This window comes from Homo sapiens, chromosome 12 (genome assembly GCF_000001405.40).
Source record: "Homo sapiens chromosome 12, GRCh38.p14 Primary Assembly".
NCBI lineage: Eukaryota > Metazoa > Chordata > Mammalia > Primates > Hominidae > Homo > Homo sapiens.
In genome coordinates this window covers 74,909,359-74,930,849 of record NC_000012.12, presented here as the reverse complement: position 1 = coordinate 74,930,849, position 21,491 = coordinate 74,909,359, and the positions used below count along the sequence as shown (strand labels likewise).

General features: G+C 34.5%; 1 long non-coding RNA gene across 5 annotated transcripts in view; it reads right to left on the bottom strand.

The window, feature by feature from the left end:
• The window catches only part of LOC105369842 (uncharacterized), an 86,958-nt gene that overhangs the window by 3,532 nt on the left and 61,935 nt on the right, over window positions 1-21,491 (bottom strand). For 2 of the 5 annotated variants that reach the window (XR_001749204.2, XR_945099.3), the window contains exons 4-5: window positions 13,196-13,272; window positions 8,964-9,721 (exon numbers count right to left, since the gene is read on the bottom strand). This is a non-coding gene — a long non-coding RNA (uncharacterized LOC105369842). Of the gene's footprint in view, window positions 1-6,242; window positions 8,940-8,963; window positions 9,722-13,195; window positions 13,273-21,491 lie in introns of those variants that run through there. The other 3 variants (XR_001749206.2, XR_001749205.2, XR_001749207.2) reach the window with 3 other exon arrangements.

Here is a 21,491-nt window from a genome sequence, read left to right as displayed (position 1 = left end):
GTTGTGGGAGGAGAATTGCTTGAGCCTTGGAGGCCGAGGCTGCAGTGAGACCTGTGCGCACACCAGCCTGGGCGACACAGCCTGACCCTGTTTAAAAAAAAAAAAAAAAAGGAAGGGGATAGATCTCAAGTCGTGATTTTACCACAATAGGAACAAAGTCAAAGTAAAAAACAAACAGAACAAATTAAACTAAATAACTCTACCACAATATTTAATTTTATTGCTCATGATCATCACAAACCTGGCTTTCATGGGGAGAATTGGGTCCGATACTGAGAATGCTGTTAGTGGACAGCCTTCATTTTCTCAGTAGCAGGTAGAGCCACCTTGCCCAAGGTAAAGCTCTTTCAGGATGGACCAAGTCTGATGCGTGATAAAGGTTGGGTATAAGGGCACAGCCACATGGGGCAAGATGGGAGAACTCCTACAGGTTATTTCTGCCTTAGCACTTCCCACAGCATTTGGGCATTTATCACAACTCAGTTTCTCTCTTTGTCCCATCTTGCTTTCTTAACCTCCCTTCCTAAGTTATTCATCCTAAAAGCCCTCCCTAGTAAACATTCTGAGTACTAAATTCTCAGAATCTGCTTCCTGGGAACTCACACAGTCAAGCATGTTGTTCTTCTCCCAGTGAGGTCTAATCAGGAGGTTTAATCCTGCTGTCAGGCTGATTTATCAACCACTACTAATGTGTCAGGCAATTTGAATAAAATCATCTGATATATTTTAGTCACATTAATTCTCAAGAAAAAAGTAGAAGAAAACCAATGTATTTTCATGTTGAAACAATAAAATTTTGTACTCGATACCTGTGCTAATAGTATTTAGCATACTTGGTCAATATTCAGATTAATAAAGATACAACTCAGAAAAGTTATAGAATACATTATTTTGTGTAATCTATTGAAAATATTCAATTTTCTTAGTTGCCTTTCTAAAATAGGTATGACTTAAAGAAAAGTAAAAGGAACATTTATCTGTCTAGGTGTATACACACACAAATACATTTATACATATGTGAATTATTGGAAAATTCCATTGTGGGGGAAATTAGGTAGTTGAAGAGATGATAAACCATTCTTAAGAAATGAAAATAATTTTCTTGCCTGAAGTATAATTTTAATGAATATTATTTTTATTTTTAAGTATAGTTTATCATCTCTTCAACTACCTAATTTCCCTCCCCAAAACGTGGAATTTTCCAGTAATTCACATATGTATAAATGTATTTGTCTGTGTGTACAATAGACAGATAGATAAATGTTCCTTTTACTTTTCTTTAACTAAGTCATACCTATTTTAGAAAGGCAACTAAGAAATGTATTCTATAACTTTTTTGAGTTATATGTTTAGTAGTCTGACTATTAACAGTGTAATAAAATTTGAATATTTAGAATACATGTTTTCTTATATATTCTCCAACTTTCTTGGCCTGTTCCTTTCATAGTTTAGTCAATGCAAATTAGTATTTAGTCATTAATATTAATTACTACTACTATTCCTGATGTCCCAATCCCACACTATATCAATGAAGACATGAGACTTTCAACCTCAAAAACAAGCAAACATACAAATAAAATCAATATTTGAATACTGACATCTATATGTGGGGAGGCTCTCATTATGCTCCAACAGAATATTTTTTAAAATTCATTGTTTTAATTAATTATAAAATTATATATATTTATTATGTATAGCATGATGTATTGAAAAATATAAACAATGTGGAATGCTAAATTGAATTAATTAACATGTGCATTACCTAACATACTTACAATTTTTTGTAAAGAGAACACTTAAAATCTACTCTCTCAGAGATTTTCAAGAATACATTTTATTAACTATAGTCACTATGTTGTACAATAGATTTCTTGATTAATTGAAATTTTGTATCATTTGAACGACATCTCCTAAACCCACTCCACTCTGCAGCCCTTGGTAACTATCATCTACTCTGTTTCAATGAGATCAGCTCTTTAGATTCCACATGTAAGTGAGATCATTCAGCCTTTCTTTGCCAGTCATATTCTAACTAACATGGTGTCCTCCAAGTTTATCGATATTATTACAAATGAATAGAATTTTCTTCTATTTTAAGGCTGAATAGTATATATACCACACTTTTTATCCATGCATCCACTGATGGACACTTAGGTTGATTCCATATCTTGGCTATTATGAATAATGCTGCAAAGAACATGGCAGTACAGATATCTCTTGCATATCCTGATTTCATTTCCTTTGGATATATGTTCAGAAGTAGAATTGTTGGATTATACGGTAGTTCAATTGTTAATTTTTGAGAAATTTCCATATTATTTTCCTCAATGGCTGTACTAATTTACATTCCCATCAACAGTATTCAAGGTTTCTCTTTTCTCCATACCCTTGTCAATATTTATCCTTCATATTTTGATGAAATCTATTTTAACAGGTCTGAGTTGATATCTCATTGTGGTTTTAATTTCATTCCTCTAATTATTAGTGATATGGAGCAGTTTTTCATATACCTGTTGGCCATTCAAATGTCTTATTTTGAGAAATATTTATTCAGGTCTTTAGCCCATTTTTAAATAGGGTTATTTGTTTTATTGTTATTGAGTTGAGTTCCTTATATGTTTTGGATATTAACCTTTAATCAGATATACGATTTGCAAATATTTTTTCCATTCTGTAGATTGTCTTTTCACTCTTTTGATTTGTTTCCTTTACTAGAAGAAGCTTTTTAGTTTGATGTAGCCCTACTGGTTTATTTTTACTTTTGTGACTTGTACTTTTGAGGTCATATCCAAAAATTCATTGTCCAGACCAATGTCATGAAGCTTATATCCTATGTTTTCTTCTAGTAGTTTTACAGTTTCAGGTCTTACGTTGAAATCTCTAATCAATTTTGAGGTAATGTTTATATTTAGTATAGATTAGAGTCTAATTTCATTATTCTGCATGTGAACATACAGTTGTTACAACCTAAATTATTGAAAGACTCTCCTTTTCTAATGTGTTCCTGGAACCTTTGTCAAAATGTCATTTGACAATAAATGCTTGGATTTCTTTCTAGGCTATTGTGTTCTGTTGGCTTATGTGTCTGTTTTTGTGCCAGTACCATGTTGTTTTCATTACTACAGCTTTGTAGTATATTTTGAAGTCAAGTAGTGTCACGCCTCCAGCTTCTGGTTTTATTGCTCGAGATTGCTTTTGCTATTTGGAATCTTTTGTGGTTTCATGCAGATTTTAAGATTGTCTTTTCCATTTCTCTGAAAACTGTCATTGGAATTTTAATAGGGATTACATTAAATCTGTAGTTTGCTTTGGGTAATACGAACATTTTAACAATATAAATTTTCTAATCTTTGAATATGGGATGCCTTTTTTGATACGTATGCTTTTTTAACTTTTAGGTTCAGGAGTACATGTGTAGGTTTATTATGTAGGTAAATTTGTGTCATGGGGGTTTGTTGTGCAGATTATTTCATCACCCAGTTTCTAAGCCAGGTACACATTGGTTATTTTTTCCTGATCCTCCCCCTCCTCCCACCCTGCACCCCCTTGTAGGCCCCAGTGTCTTTTGTTCCTCTCTGTGTGTCCATGTGTTCTCATAATTTAGCTCCAGGTTATAAGTGAAAACATGGGGTATTTGGTTTTCTGTTCCACATTAGTTTGCTAAAGATAAAGGCCTCTAGTAAGTTCTAGGGTACATGTGCACAACGTGTAGGTTTGTTACATAGGTATACACATGCTATGTTGGTTTGCTGCACCCATAAACTCTTCATTCATGTTAGGTATTTCTCCTAATACTATCCCTCCCCCAGGCCCCCACCCCATGACAGGCCCTGGTGTGTGATGTTCCCTGCCCTGTGTCCATGTATTCTCATTGTTCAACTCACACCTATGAGTGAGAACATGCAGTGTTTGGTTTTCTGTCTTTGTGATAGTTTGCCAAGAATGATGGTTTCCAGCTTCATACATGTCCATTCAAAGGACATGAACTCATCCTTTTTTATGGCTGCATACTATTCCATGGTGTATATGTACCACATTTTCTTAATCCAGTCTATCATTGATGGACATTTGGGTTGGTTCCAAGTCTTTGCTATTGTGAATAGTGCCACAATAAACATACGTGTGCATGTGTCTTTATAGTAGCATGATTTATAATCCTTTGGGTATATACCCAGTAATGGGATGGCTGGGTCAAATGGTATTTCTAGTTCTAGATCCTTGAGGAACGCCACTTCCACAACAGTTGAACTAATTTACACTCCAACCCACAGTGTAAAAACGTTCTTATTTCTCCATATTCTCTCCAGCATCTGTTGTTTCCTGTCTTTTTAATAATCGCCATTCTAACTGGCATGAGACGATATCTCATTGTGGTTTTGATTTGCATTTCTCTGATGACCAGTGATGATGAACATTTTTTCATGTGTCTGTTGGCTGCATAAATGTCTTCTTTTGAGAAGTGTCTCTTTATGATAGAACAATTTATCTTTGGGTATATACCCAGTAACGGGATTGCTGGGTCAACTAATATATCTGTTTTTATGTCTTTGAGGAATCACCACACTGTTTTCCACAATGGTTGAAGTAATTTACATTTCCGCCAGAAGTGTATAAGTGTTCCCTTTTTCCACAACCTTGCCAGCATCTGTTATTTTTTGACTTTTTAATAATCACCATTCTGACTGGTGTGAGATGGTATCTCATTGCGGTTTTGATTTGCATTTGTCTAATGATCAGTGATGCTGAGCTTTTTCATACATTTATTGGCTGCAGAACAGGGGATAGCTTTCCATTTATTTATGTCTTCTTCAAATTCTTTCATCACTTTTATAATTTTTAGTCTGTAGTGTACTGACTTTTCACTCCTTGGCTAAATTTATTCCTAAGGGTTTTACTTTTGCAGCTATTATAAAAGGAATTGTTTTCTTTATTTCTTTCTTTCTTTTTTTTTTTTTGATATTTCTTGTTAGTTTATAGAAATGCTGTTTTTTGTGAATTGATTTTGGGTCAGGCAAGATTACTTATTTATTACTTCTAATAGTTTTTAGGTAAAGTTTTTATAGAATTTTCTATATGCAAGTTTATTTCACCTGCAAACAGAAAAAAAATCATTTATTCCTCTTTTACTTGGTTACATTTTTTTTTTTTTTGAGATGGAGTTTCACTCTTGTTGCCCAGGCTCGGGTGCAATGCTGTGATCTTGGCTCACTGCAACCTCTGCCTCCCGAGTTCAAGTGATTCTCCTGCCTCAGACTCCTGAGTAGTTGGGATTACAGGTGTAATACATGCCCAGCGAATTTTGTATTTCTTTTTTCTTTTTTTTTAGTAGAGATGGGGTTTCTCCATGTAGGTCAGTCTGGTCTGGAAAATTTTATTTCTTTTTCATACCCAATTGCTCTGGCTAGGACTTCCAGTAGTATGGTGAATTCAAGTGGCAAGAGTGGGCATCCTCATGTTGGTCCTGTTCTTAAAGCAAAAGCTTTCAACTTTTCTCAGTTGAGTATAATCTTAGATGTGGGTGGTCATATATAACCTTCACTGTGTTGAGGTTCATTCCTTCTATACCTAATTTATTGGCAGTTTTTATTTAAAAGGATGTTGAATTATGTCAAATTCTTTTTCTTCATGTATTAAGATTATCATATGGTCTTTGCCCTTTATCCTGTTAGTCTATCATAGTTATATTTCCACATGCTGAAGCATCCTTACATCTCTAATATGAATCCAACTTCATCATGATTAATGATTTTTTTAATGTGCTGTTGAATTAGGTTTGGTAGTATTTTATTGAGGATTTATGTATCTATGTTGATCAGGGATATTATTGCTCTGTAAATTTCTTTATTGTAGTGTCCTTGTCTGGCTTTGATGTCAGGGTAATGCTGACCTCATAAAATGAGTTTGGAAATATGCCCTTTTTGGAAAAATTTGAGGATTCATACTAGCTCTTTTTAATATGTTTGGTAGAATTGAGCAGTAAAAAGTGATTAAATCCTGAGCCTTTCTTGGATGGGAGACTTTTCGTTTCATTATCAAATCTCCTTATTATTAGTCTATTGAGATTTTCAGTTTCTTCATGATTCACACCTGCTAGGTTGTACATGTCTAGGCATTTATCCATTTCTTCTAATTTATCCAGTTTTTTGGCATATCATTGTTCTTAATAATCTCTTATGAACCTTTGGATTTTGGTGGGATCAGTTGTAATGTCTATTTGTGTCTTTTCTCTTTTTTTCCCCCTATTTTGTCCAGCTGAAGTTTTATTTTTCTTCCTTTGTTTTTTTTTTTTTTTTTTTTTTGTCAATAAACCAACATCTAATTTTGTGGATATTTTCTGTTGTTTTTCCTAGTCTCTATTCATTTCTGTTCTGATCTTGATTAATTTTTAACATCTAACTTTAGGATTATAGTTTGCTGTTTTTTGAATTATAAGATTCGGGTGTTGATTTCATATCCTTGTTTTTTTGCTGTAGGGGTTTATGTTACAAACTTCTGTTTTAGAGCTCCTTTTGCTAGATTGCATAAGTTTTCATAGTTGTGTGTCCATCCTCATTTGTCAGAAGATTTTTTTTTAATTATTTTATTTTATTATTATTATACTTTAAGTTTTAGGGTACATGTGCACAATGTGCAGGTTAGTTACATATGTATACAAGTGCCATGCTGGTGTGCTGCACCCATTAACTCGTCATTTAGCATTAGATATATCTCCTAATGCTATCCCTCCCCCCTCCCCCCACCCTACAACAGTCCCCAAAGTGTGATGTTCCCCTTCCTGTGTCCATGTGTTCTCATTGTTCAATTCCCACCTATGAGTGAGAATATGCGGTGTTTGGTTTTTTGTTCTTGCGATAGTTTACTGAGAATGATAATTTCCAATTTCATCCATGTCCCTACAAAGGACATGAACTCATCATTTTTTATGGCTGCATAGTATTCCATGGTGTATACGTGCCACATTTTCTTAATCCAGTCTATCATTGTTGGACATTTGGGTTGGTTCCAAGTCTTTGCTATTGTGAATAGTGCCGGAGTAAACATACGTGTGCATGTGTCTTTATAGCAGCATGATTTACAGTCCTTTGGGTATATACCCAGTAATGGGATGGCTGGGTCAAATGGTATTTCTAGTTCTAGATCCCTAAGGAATCGCCACTCAGTGTATCTAAGTTCTAATTTTAGTTGTTTATTATTTTTCTGATTTTATTTAATTGCTTCTTTGTATTTTCTTGAATTTCACTGAGCTTTTGTAAACCATTTATTTTGAATTTCTTTTTAAATTGGGGAGCTCATAAATATCCATTTCTTTAAGGTCAGTTACTCGTGTTTTATTTTGTTTCTCTGGTAGTGTTATGTTTCCCGATTGGTCTTAATTTTTGTGGCTTAGTATTGGTGTCTGTTTATTGTAGAAGTTCGGAGTTATTACCATCTCTGCAGATTGACTGTGTCTGCGAAAACCCTTTACCAATCAGCCCATCCAGAGATTCTGAGCAGGCTGTCTGGCATGGTTCATGGGCTGGCTTGTTGCTGGGGTCCTCAGATAGGCAGGTCTGGTGCTTGGTTTAGCAGGTGAGTGGGCCTGTTATCTGGGTCAGCTGGGTTGAGTTTGGAACCTGGACTCACTGGAGTGGATATTTTGATTGGGTTTGTGGAGATATATCTGGAGCAAGAGTATGTGAGGGTAGACCTGGAGCCTTCATCTCCTGGGGCCATCCTAAAGCTTAAATCCACAGCAGTTAACTTGACTCTGGGACTGACCTTGAGCTTGAGTCTATAGAGGTCAGTCAGGTGCTAGAATTATCCTGGTGCTTGGGTCCAGTGGGTCAAGCCTGAAGCTTGAGTTCACAGGCTGACCTGGTGCTGAAGTAGGCCTGGAGCCTGAGTCTGTTCAGGAAGATCTGGGTTCTGGGCCCATGGGGGTTGGCCTGGCTTGGATCCTGGGCCTGTGGGGGTGGCATTGGAGCTTCAGTCTCTCTCTGGTAGTTGGCCTGACACCAGGGTCTACTGGGGCGGGCCTGTAGTCTAGATATGCCAGAGTAGTACTGGACTTTGGATCCTCTGGAGTCTGAGGCCATGAAGACTGGCCTGGAGCCTAGGTGCAGCCTGGTACTGGGACAGACATGGAAAATGGACCCATAAGGGCTACTGTGGAGCCTGGCATCATAGGTGCTATCCTAATGCCTAGAGCCTTGGTTTAGAGAGGCTGGTTGTGCAGTAGTTGGTTCGGAAGCTAGGCCTGCAAAGTCTGGCCTTGGTTCTAGGGTTGTGGAGGTGGACTTGGAACCTGATCCACAGGAGGCAGTCCTAGAGCCTGAGTCCGTGGGAGATATCCTAGTAAAAGTCTACTGGGGCAAACCTGGATCCTGGGTCTTCTAGAGAAAGCCTGTACCCTAGTTCTGTTGGAGCATGGGGTCACAGGGGCTGGCCTAGAGTGTGGAACTGCAAGGACTAGCCTAGCATTGTGCAAGCCTCGAGCCTGTATCTACAGGTGCCAGTCTGGTGCCTGAGGCTAGGGGTGTTTATCTGGCACTGGCATGGGCCTGAGGCCTGGGGCTATATGGGTTGACATATGTCAGAGCTGAGTTGGAACTTGAGGTGAGCCTGGAGCCAAGGATCACAGGGGCTGGCCTGATGCTGGATCAGCCTAGAACATGTATCCAAAGGGGTCAGTCTGGAGGCTGGGTCCTCTGGTGCCATTGGGTTTGGCCTGGTGTTGCTGTGGGCCCAGAGACCAAGTATGCTGAACAAGCCTGGAGTCTGGAGTTGTGGGATCTGGCCTGGCATTGGAACCAACCCAGAGGCTTAGTCAGTAGGTATTGGCCTGAAGTCTGGGGTCATGGGTGCTGCCCAACACTGAGTGTTGGGATCTGAGGCAAAGTCTTGTACTCACTGTTTTCTCCTTCACCCAAGCAGAAGTATCTCTCTCCATGCTGTGCTGCCTGGAGGTGAGAAAGGAGTGATGCAAGTAACGCATGACTGTCCTTTCTATCCTCTTTGATGCATTTTTTTCTTATTTCTGTGCTACACTCAGGTGCTATAATTTCTCTTCTGGTTTCCTTAGCTCTGTGATGGTTTTTTTGTGTGTGTTTCAGATAGTTGTTCAAGTTGATGTTTATGCAGTAGGACAAGGAGTGGAAAACCCTATTCTACCATTTTGCTGATGTTCAGCCCAAAACAGAATCTTAAAAATTATATGCGTCTTTGCTTAAAATAAAGTTTTTTCTATTACACCACCTTGTTTTTTCAATGGGCTTTCTCTGTATTTCTCTTAACCCATTCCATATATCTAGTTCCTTTATTATCCCTTTCTTTTTTCTACATTACTTTTAATTTTTCTCTCATTCCTTCACAGGAAGAAAATAAACTTCTTCTGGATTTCTCCTGCAAGCCAGTTTAATCATTGTATTCTTTAAGAGATTTCTACCAAGACAATGCTCTTCAAATTTCAACTTCTCTCCCAAGTGGCTAAAAAAGTATTTCGGCAAACCAAGATTATCCTGCCCTGAGAGGAATTCTGGTAGCAGGTGTTATAACATCATCTGAGTTCTTTGATAAATTAATCAAAACCATAACAAGTAATAATCGTAAGCAGTCATTTTAAAATGAATTTACCTCTTTTTAGGGACAGATGTTATCATCTCTTCTTCCGGACTATAACTGTTAGTGTCTTGTTTCCATAGCACTACTGATTAGTACTCCTCATTTTTGACAAATGGAAAATCTAACAAAAATAATTAGAACATATAACGTTTTGGTATGTTTAGTTTTGATAACACTTTTCTCAGTGACAAGTAATCCCATTGTCTTATGGTATTCATCTTCCCCCATTTATTGCCAAGGTTTCAGTCATGATGTGTGATGGTTTAGCTCCACACAGACTATTTGCATCACTGTCCATATGGAGCATCTATGTGTTTTTGATAATCAACTACTGTAATTCCCACAATGTTACATGAGACATAGATGAAAATGCATGAGTGAACAAAAATGTCAAGATCATCTTAACATCATAATCAAAGTCAACCTCTCAATATTTCTGTAAACTCTTTATGTCAGGCTTCTTATCCTTTCCTTTCTCAGTCACACTTCTAACAAGATGAATGGCAAAATATGGGAATCTCAAGATTTTTGATTCAAACAATCGTTTAAATTGTATATCTGTAATTTATATGTCAATTTAATGTATTTGTCTCCTCCTCTCTATTGTTGTCGCTAATAAATGAGAGTTGCCAATAAAAAAGAGAATTAGAGTTTAGAGATACAAAGTGATTAGAGACAGGCACTGATTACCTATCAAAAGGCAGGTCTTTAGGGAAATACATAAGACAAGGGAGAAAGATGGCTTTGGGGACTGAACATTACTAAAGTGGACTAAAAATTAAATGACAATGATTAGTGAAAGAAAATATTTTTTCTAACTCCCAGGGAAACAAAGATTTCTTTGGAAAATTTGAGTCGCAGGTGAGAACAGGGAAAATATTCATTAATTCATTTGTCACATATTTGGTGTGCTCTGGTTATGTGCTAGGCAGTGTAATAAGCACTGAGAATACTATGGTGAGCAATATAGGCATGGAGCTTCATGGAACTTATCATCTAGAAACAGGCAGCAATTACTATATGTCTACACTAGATCTCTAAAACAAATTGTCCCATCAATTACTTGGTGGAAAGAGTATCGCATCATAGTATGAGTAGTAGAAAAAGGCAATATTTTCTGTAATTAATGACATAAGGAACACTGTGGGAAAAAATGAACTTGCACATGTGTCACATCCATAATATTGGAAGGGGCTTTAAATTTGCCTGTAATAATTTATTCATTTTATAAATAAGATTTGTTAAAAATGATTTAAAGGATTAAGAAAAGTCTGTAAAATATTACTTTTATCTGTAAATAAACTGTCAAATTGATGACCATGTATATTTATATTTAGTTGAATGGATTCCTCAACCATGTTTTAGCACAACAATACTGATAAACATTGGTGGAGGTTAATGGGGGTAATTGCCCACTTCAGCTATGGCTGCTGACAGATAAGTCCCTAGTAAAGAAATAATTGCAGTCAAGAGCATAATCGCCCTGTCCCAGGGACCTCTAAAGTATTAATCAAAAAAAATTTTAAGTAATTTTTAATAATTATCTTTACTGTCTGGAAAGTAGTGATCATCATCTATTTGAAGAGATATTTTACTTTTAATCTCGAAACATGTAACACTATGTGTGCCAGGCTCACTTTCTTTTATTTTACAAATAGTAGCCCCTTTATTTCACACAAAATTTCCTGTTATCTTAGTCCATTCAGGCTGTTATAACAAAATATCACAGACTGGGTAACTATTAAGTGACAGAAATGTGTTTCTCACAGTTGTGGAGGCTGGAATCCAAGATTAAGGCACTGACAGACTCCGTGTCAGGGGAGGGCCGATTTTCTGGCTTATAGGCTATAATTTTCTCACTGTAACCTCACATCATACAAGTGACAAGGGAGCTCTGGGGTTCTTTTCATAAAAGCACTAATTACCTTCAAAGGTCCTACCTTCTGACACCGTCACCTTGAGGTTTAGAATTTCAGCATATGAAATTTGGGGGGACACAAACATTCAGTGTATAGCTCCCAGCGTTTGTCTTTTATGTTCTTAAAAATTGATTAGACATACTACTATACCAGGCATGAAGGAAATTGAAAATCTTTATTTAGGGATATGAACCAACCTAGCCATTACTTTTTCTGTGGCAAGTCTGGCTTGGGATAAATAATTGGTTTTATTTGCTAATGAGGAGCTATTCAATATTTTTCCACATTAATTTTATGATTAAACTGATTTGAGATAATATAATGTCAATACTAAATAAGACAAAATGAAATGAAGAGTGGAATTATAAGAAGATTCAGAATTCAGGTTCCAAATTTCCCTTTCTCCTCCTCATGTAGTCAGGAATAGAGTCTGAAGAAAATTTTATACTTAATCATATTTACTATTTAATAATCCTTAAATAATAAAGACAATCTATGGTATTTAACAGGTCTGAATCTGTATAAAAAGGAAATTAATTTATTGATAAATTGCTCTAAAAGATAACATACACATTTTCTAAGAAAAGTGTACACACATAAACTTTCTTAAGTTTTAAAAGTAAAAGTTTTAAAGTATACAATTTATATATTTTGTAAAGTAATCCTTGGATAACCAGTATTTTATATACATGCTTGATAAAACATAAAGATTAAGCTGTAAAGAAGATAGGGAATTCAAGAAACATTGAAAGCAGCTTATATTAAGTAACCATTTAAAAAGCAATAAAGCATGAGTCACTAACATCCAAACTATCTTGAATGAATATCTGTAGCCAAAGAAATTTGACTGGGGTCCCAGATATGATCTTATTGTTTGTACACAAATACTTAAAGCATAATTTACTTGAGCATTTTCTCATATTAAGAAAACAAATAAGTTGCCTCCAAGGCTATGAACATTTCTGAGACATAATATAAACGTTTTCAATTTTATATAACCATTTAAAATACCTAGACTTATTTTGAAATTAAAGTATTGGAACAAGTTCAGCAAATAGTCTTTCTATATATCTTCTTTCATATTGAAAAAAACTACATTATGATTAAAAATATACAGTCACACAAAAGTTGGAAATTGTAATGACTCTGAAAAAAATATGATTTTAGTTTTTTAACTATTCTATATTTATTTGGGCTGGCTTTAACACTGTGTGTGGTGTTCATGAGTTTATTTCCAATTCTAGACCATGTTCCTTATGTACTCATGTAGTAACATGAGTACATATTGTTTTCTTGGCTAAGAGTATTCTGCTTGCTTTCTAGGTACCTAGAAAGAAGATGGAATGAAAGCAATTCAATTATTTTCATATCTGGTTACTTAGCACTATGTAAATCTCCTTGGGCCTATTGTATTCCAGAAAAGCAGAAATTCCATTACAAGCAATGCCAATGTGTTTTTGTAATAGCTACCCAGGTGAAGAAAGGGAACTCATGCATATCTTGGGAGCCTAGGTTTTTTCAGATACCATTAAAAATCCTTTAGCACAGTAGTATTCACAATAATGATCAAATTTGAAATATTTTATTACAATAATGTGTTAAATAAGACTCAAAGAGTCTGAGTACTTCTCCTGAGGTTACATGACAAAAAAGCTATATATGAAAAAATAACATACCTCAGTATAATTCCCAAATTTAGATCCTTTCTGCTGTACTGTGCTGTTTGGCCCCACATCAATTACCAGTTCTCCTTCTAAGAAGAAAAAGGTAATACATGCTTATAGTCTGAATTTAGCTACAAATGATTAAACTAGAATTCTGTGGAGCTAACATTAATTTGTGAGATTTTGCTTATTCTAGAATTGAGCATGTAAAAGTCTGAACAATAAGACATGATTGTAGACACGGAGACAAAATTAGATGCGAAGGAAATTGCTTTGTTGGTTATTATATAGCTGGAGTGCAACTTTGAGATTCAGCTTGATGATCTTTTGTATCATAGTTCCTTGGTATAATACAGAGAGATAAGAGAGACAAAGCTCAAAATAGAACCAAATAGATCCCTTAAAAATAGGGAACATATAATTGGACATGGAAAATGACAGTAAATTATTATTGAACATATTTCATGAGAAATATGCTGGAAACACAACAAAATTCAATAACATATTTGCTGAAGGAGGACATATACTTAAAATATAAATGGCTATACAAGATTAATATTATGTTAAAAATAACATTGATATAGAACTTACTATATTTATATACTATATAAGTACTATGTTTTCATTAAAATCCTTTGTCTTATTTTCATTTTACCAATGAAAAAACCAAAGCCTAGAAAGTTCTCATAAAATATAAAATTATCTATGCAAGGCCTAATTAAATGGCATAATCAAAAGGAGTATAATATTTTAGGATTGCATGGCTTGGAATTTGAAATGCAGGATTTAGAGAAACAGCAAAGAGCTGTTTGGCCTAGAGAGAAAGCATGTGAGTTTCTTTGTGATTTCTTAGCAACAAGAATGTATGAAGATCATTTAGTGAGGAATAAAGAACCTGCATCTGAAGAGACAGTAGTGTGCCTGGTGTGACAGATGTAGACAATGGTTTTGATCATGTTGTTTTGAATTCATGAAAGAGATGAAAATTGGAGGACGAAAAAATTCCACAAAATGTTGTTTTCATCTTCAAATTTATCTCCTTTTACTGGTTATTACTTAAAATGATTCTTTTTATATTTTGCACTTATACTTTTCTAAAAAAGTTTTTTTATTGAGATGGAGTTTCACTCTTGTTGCCCAGGCTGGAGCTTACTGCAACCTCTGTCTCCCAGGTTCAAGCGATTCTCCTGCCTTAGCCTCCAAACAGCTAGGATTACAGGCATGTGCCACCACACCCAGCTAATTTTGTGTTTTTAGCAGAGATGGGGTTTCACCATATTGATCAGGCTGGTCTCGAACTCTTGATCTCAGGTGATCCACCCACCTTGGCCTCCCAAAGTTCTGGGATTATCCGCATGAGCCATCGCACCCAGCCTAAAAGTTCTTATCTGGATTTTTTCATCTGTCTTACCCTGTCACTGAACTTTGTATCATTTGATTCTTCCTACCAAATATATTTTGAATTTTTATCCCTTTCAAAACCCTCTTTCTCATAGGTTCATAAACTCTAATTCAACCTTTAAATGTTCTCATTACAGAGAAACTGATTAAAAGTACATGTAATAAGGAGAAAAGGGATAAAGAAAAGTAAATGCTCACTTTGTTTCTTTTTTTTTTAAAGTTCCCTGACTGTAATTCTTTCTGCAGTCAGTTATAATTGACAATGGATTCATTGTAAGATTAACTAAGCAAAGCAAAGAACATTAATTATAAATATCTTCCATTACTTCTTCATTTATGCTGCTGTACATAAGGACATATTTGTATGCCAGATTAAATGTGACTGTAGAGTACAGGAAAGCATTCTTTAGCAAACACTTATAAGCCTCTTTGGCCTGTGTGGTCAGGAACTGTACAGTAATAGGAGAAAAGCCACATATAAACTAAATCCTAAACCATGATCAATTTTACACATCAGGAGAATGGGAGAAACTAGGAAAAACTCAAAGTAATTACTGATTTTTTTAGTTGATATTTTTACCTTGTTACACCCAAGCCTGGAATATGTGGTATACTTGAATTCTGCTGTGTTTATTTTCTATTCCCATCTTTATGTATATATATATATGTTACAGAAAAGAAAGACAAAGGCTTTTTATAATTAAAAAATTAGTTAACTACAGTTTTATTTTTATTTCTATATAAATTTGATTCAAAGAACATCATTTGTACTGAATGTGGTTTTAGCTCTTGACAATTAGTTTTCTATTTCCTTTCTGAATGAATATGCCTATTTCTATATATAGTCATCCCTCAGTATTTATGGGAGGATTAGTTTCAGGACTTCCAATGGAGACCCAAATTCATGGATGCTCAAGTCTCTCATTTAAAGTGGTGTATTATTTCCATGTAAACAACACATATCATTACACAGACTTTAAATCATCCCTAAATTACTCATAATATCTAACACAATGCATACACATCTCTTCATTTGTGTGGATACATTGTAGTACTCAGTTCACAGAAAATTCAAGTTTTGCTTCTGAAACTTTGTGAATACTTTTTTCTGAATATTTTCAATCTGCAGTTGATTGAATACACAGATGCTGATCCCATAAATAGAGAGAGCCAACTGTATTTACTTCAAATGAAATTCTCATTTGAAAGAGACCGAATATTTAAAATATGACAAAAGTATAGATGGTAGTTACTTTCGACAATTTAGTATAAATTATAAAACTTTAAAAGCTTAATTGAAGTACAGTTGGTTTAATTTTCCCCACCTTACTCCAGAATTGGGTATAAGTCTACTTTTTAGTTACTTTTGATACAAGTAAAACAATATGTCGTAAGATGGCTTTTGATCCTTCAGACATAGACATTTCAGTAGAATACACAATGGCAACACTTAAATTGTTTCATCTTAGGAAGCCATTTGCCATGTGTTTGATTACCTATTACTAGGGGAAAAAAACACCTCATGTGAGTACCTTAAACACCTCATGTGAGTACTTCTTTTGCTGTCAATTCTGTGGCTTGCCTGGGCTGTGGGCATTTCTCATGTGGGGTCTCTCACCGGATTGTAGTCAGATAAAGTCTGAGGCGGGAGTCATTTCTAAGTATTCTTCACTGACATATCTGACACTTAAAATGTAGGTCTCTCTCTCACCATGTAGTCACACTTTTTACATGAAGGCTGAAGGCAGTCAGAACAAATGTTCCAAGAGAAATTGATTGAAGCTGCATGGCTTTTAAAAAATCCGTCCTTGGAAGTCACACAGTATCACTTCCATCACATCCTATTCCTTGAAGCAGTCATAAAGACCAGCCCTAGTTCAAGGGGAGGAAACCTTGATTCTACCTGAATTTGAAAACATATTTAAAAACCACCACACCATGTATGCAAATTGTTATCTAATTTTTATTCTTCTGTTTGTACAGAAAATGTCAATTTTTATTTAATAATGACTAATTTTTGAGTTATGAAAATAAATAACTCAGTATATTTTATCAATTGCGATTGTCCCAAGATGACTGAAAATATTTTTTACTCCTTAGGTCAAGATTTCCATAAAACAATAGGAAAAAGACTTAAATTCAATTAAATGTGACCTTTAGCTAGCTGATGTAATCAGTAAACAGGATCATTGATTTCCAATATTTGTTCAAGAAATATTTGTCCAGCATCTAATATATGCTCATTGATTACATAGTTATACTATCAAGAAAGATAAGAAAAGTAAAAGCATACCTTAAAAAAACAGTGCTTTTTTTCCCCCTGGGAATACAATTAAAACTACATGAATGTTAGCAGAAGGTTAAATTTTAAGAGACCAATTATTATTAAACTAAAAAACTAAGGAATTATAGGAACACATTAATTAAATATATTTGAATTTTAAGGAAAAGACATGCACACTGAGTAAAAAGTATGTGAAATACACAAAAAGAGTCTTCTACAAAGTGAAAACACTAATAAGCATATTGGCTGAATATTTAACCTTACTAATAATCAAATAATTTCAAAAACTAAGTATTATTTTTCTTTAAAATCAGCAAGGATTAATCATGCTTCCTTCCCACTATTGACAAATATATAAGAAATAGTAAATGGAAAATAGTCACTGGTTGGTGGAAGTGTAAATAGACACAAACTTCCTGGGGGGCAATGGAGAAATATAAAATGTAGAACCATCTTTAACATATGAAGGTTAGATAGGGCGCAGTGGCTCACGCCTGTAATTCTGGCACTTTGGGAGGCCCAAGCAGGAGGATCACTTGCACCCAGGAGTTTGAGACCAAACTGAGTCACACGGTGAAACCCTGTCTCTACAAAATAGTACAAAAATTAGCCTAGTGTGGTGGTGCATACCTGTAATCCCAGCTACTTGGGAGTCTGCGGCAGAGGTTGCCGTGAGCTGAGATTGTGCCACTGCACTCCAACCTAGGTGACAGAGTTAGACCCTGCCTCAAAAGAAAAAAAAGAAAAAGACTTTCTGAAAATTACTGAGGATATGTGCTAAAACACATATGTAAATAAAATAATTTTTCATACAGGAAATGATCATATATGTGGCAATAAATACAAACATGGTTAGTAAAACAGGAGCTCAGATAAGAGAAGTGGAGAGACCTAATCCAGATTGATTTCAAATAAGAACTCTGAGTTGATTTTGATAATGAAGAATGGACATAATGTGAATAGGATAAGGAGATAAGAGAAATAAAGGTAAGAGTAGTAAGTTCAACACAATATCTTTTGTGCCCTTGACTGACTCTTATACTCCTGATCCACATCAATCTTTCTTTTTTCTGAATTGCTAGTGTATTTATATTAAGCACCAAATTCCTGAGCACTTAAAGTGCTTTCTCATTACTTTTTGTTTCTTTTCTTCCCCATTAAATGATAAGCTCTCTAAAGACAGAAACAGTGTCTTCTTTAGTATCCTCCATTGCATAGTGCTGAGTAAAGGGGACCTGTTTAATACACATCACTTAAGAGTCTGTTGGTTGAGCAAGAACCAAAGGAGGTACAATACATAAATTATTCAATTCTGTATATAGGCGGAGCAACTGCACAAAGATTTTGTTCCATTGACTACAAAATTGGCTACATTTTAAGTTTTTCTTTTAATATAGTGAAAAGTGTAAATGAAATCACAGTTCATAAGAAAAGTAGTCAATAAACATAAATATTACTTGGTATTTTATAGCCTAAAACTGTATATTTTCTAATTTTCAGTATTGGAATTGGTTAGAAGCATCCAGATATTTTTATATATATATATATATATATATATATATATATATATATATATATATATGCACACACACATACATATACACAAACACACATACATATGTAAATATTACAAATGAAAATTATTTTAAACAATATTTTTATCTAAATATTTCTTTTTATAGTCATACATAAGATAGAAATCCTATCATTTCTGCATCCAATTACACATATATTTAGAGAAGCTATCTGATTTATTATGCTATTAATGTTTTTAGAAATATCCCATTTCCAGAAGTGAGTAAATATATTTTTAATTTTATAAATCATCCGTAGTTATTTATGAACAAATGAACTACAATTATAACAATCAGTTGACTCAAGTGGGAGAGACATTTATCCTTGTTATTTACTTTCATATATGTGAAAGTAGCTGCTTTTTACTTTTACTTTATATATAAGTGAATGATACAAAAGAAGATATTCTCTGAAAGAAGGAAAGAACAGTTGCTTTATAATGGGAAACATTTGCATTTTATGGAGGACTGTTAGAGAAAAAAATGTATGCATGACATCAAAGAAAGCAGAGAACAGTGTATGATTATGTACATATTTAATGTACCATCCAAATAGCTACATATCCACATATTTTGAGTATTTAATAATTTGCTTCTCACATCAGATTAGGAAATAGAGTGCCCTTTGTAGAATCAACTCTAATCTCAGAAAAGACTTTTTCCTATCACTTTGTGTAAGGAAAGATGATGAGCTCATTTGAAAGTTAGTAATAAAATGAAATTGTATTTCTGAATGGGAAAGAAGCATATGGCACACATTTGCATCTTTTAAAACTTTTTTGCAATAAAATATAAACATACTGAAATGAGATGTAAGATATATTAGTAGCTTGTTTGGAGGAAAAAGTCATGTCACAATTTCACTGTGTCACCCCATAAATAAACATATCCAGTCATTTTTCATAAAAACATAAAGCAAAATAATCTAAAACATTAAAATCGTCTCACGGAGAATCTTTCTTCAACTTGAAGAAATAAGTTGAAGAAATAAAAATAAATAAATAAGCTTTCTTTTTATACACCAACTGAGAAATAGTTTTCACTAGTGAGTTCAATCAGTGGACTAAAGGAGAACAGAACAAGTAAGGAAGAGTGAATGCTTGAATCAGGTGGAAATAAACCATTTCAAAACTAAAGCTATGTCAAAATATTAAACGATGCCAGGCTCAGTGGCTCACACCTGTAATCTCAGCATTTTGGAAGACTCAGAGAGGCGGATAGCTTGATCCCAGGAGTTCAACACCAGCCTATGGCAGAATCACCTGAGTCCTGAAAGTTGAGGCTGCAGTAAGCCATAATGGTACCACTGCACTCCAGTGCTGGTGATGGGAGTGAGACCCTATCTCAATAAATATAAATAAATAAATAAATAAATAAATAAATAAATAAATAAATAAAAATATTAAATGCTTCTTGATCCTTTCATTTCAACATTACACTCATTTGGCGAGAAGAAAAAAGTATTAGGCTCCTACTCCAGTTATTTGTGAAAGATGAGTCAAAAATACAAGAGTAGAATATCATTTTACCTGAACATGCGACTGAACACCTATCTATCTATCATCTGTCTATCATCTATCTATCTAATCTATATCTATTATCTATCTGTCTGTCTATCTAATTCCTCTCACTTGTGAAAGAAAAAGAATAAATAAATAAAATTCTGTCAATTTAGCCTAGGAATAGATATTCATCAGATAGTAAGAACAACTGAAGGAAGTAGTTGCCAGAAGATTCAGGGAAATGAACCAAAAAAGATATTTGTATTTGACATTTCTGTTACTTACATTGTTAAGGCAAAATAATAGTTGACCAAAATCTAAAATGTATTATGTAAGTAAAATATATATTCTGTCTCCTACCCAATCATTTATTTTACCCAATCTAAGTCACACAAAATAAAAGCAGTTCATAACAGAGATGTGAAGTGCAACCCCTTGCACTGAGGTTGGGTTTTTCATTCCTTTGACTAATAGCATTCAAATTGATGGAAGGTAACCTAAGCCAGTTCTCACTTTGAACTTTAAGATGGCTGGCATAATTATTCCACATTTCTGGAACCCACATTGCTCCCAGTGATACAATGAGCAGGTTCCAACAGCCCATGTGAAGAAGAATCAATGCCCAGCTAACAACCCAAGTTGAGCTCACTGACAACACCTGCTTCCAACTTGCCAACTATGTGAGGGAGACATCTTGAAGAGAGGAGAGAAAATATTTGAAGAAATAATGAAGAAAATGTTCCAACAATATAACATGAAAGACCTTATATTGAAATGTTTTATAATACATCAAATTGAAGATTGACAACCATAAATATGTACTTTAACATATTTTCATGAAATTTAAGATATCAATCTGAAACAATTATAAAAGCTTCCAGGTAAAAGCAAAAATCATCAAAATGGAACCAGAGTCTTGACTGATGTTAGTCTTCAATTGCCACACTGTCAGAAAACAATGAGTGATACTTGCAAAGAACTGAAGAGTGGGGTTATCTGAGAGCCCCTAGCTATTAATTTATTTAGAATAGGTCTCAGCTATCGGGCTTGCTCTCGTTGGAGCTGTCTCTAGCCTATAACAAAGAAAGGCTGTGGCCTAAGGACTTAAATATTTCCATCTGAAGTGGTATTTCTCACATGGCCAGTGTTTATCTACAAGCTCCTCAGTGGACTGACAGAGACCATAGTCATGTCTGTTGCATGGTCTGATGGCTCCCCCTGTGCAATTTTGCTTCTTTCCCTTACACTTTCACACTTGTTACTCTTTAATAAACCTTTTGCACTCCTACCTCCATTTCATTGTCTTCTTCCTGGAGAACACAATCTGAGACACTATTTTATCATTCTATAACCTTTCTTCTTAATATTTATTTTTAATATTTTTTCTAACTTTTACTAATTAATTTTTTCTTATTTCCAATTGTTAATATGTTTTCTTATGTCTTTAAGCATATTTATCACACCTATTTTAAATTATTACTTCATCTGCTTTGAAAAGTATACATTTAGAGTTTCAAAATGTTTTAATGTCTCAGTATATAAACCCA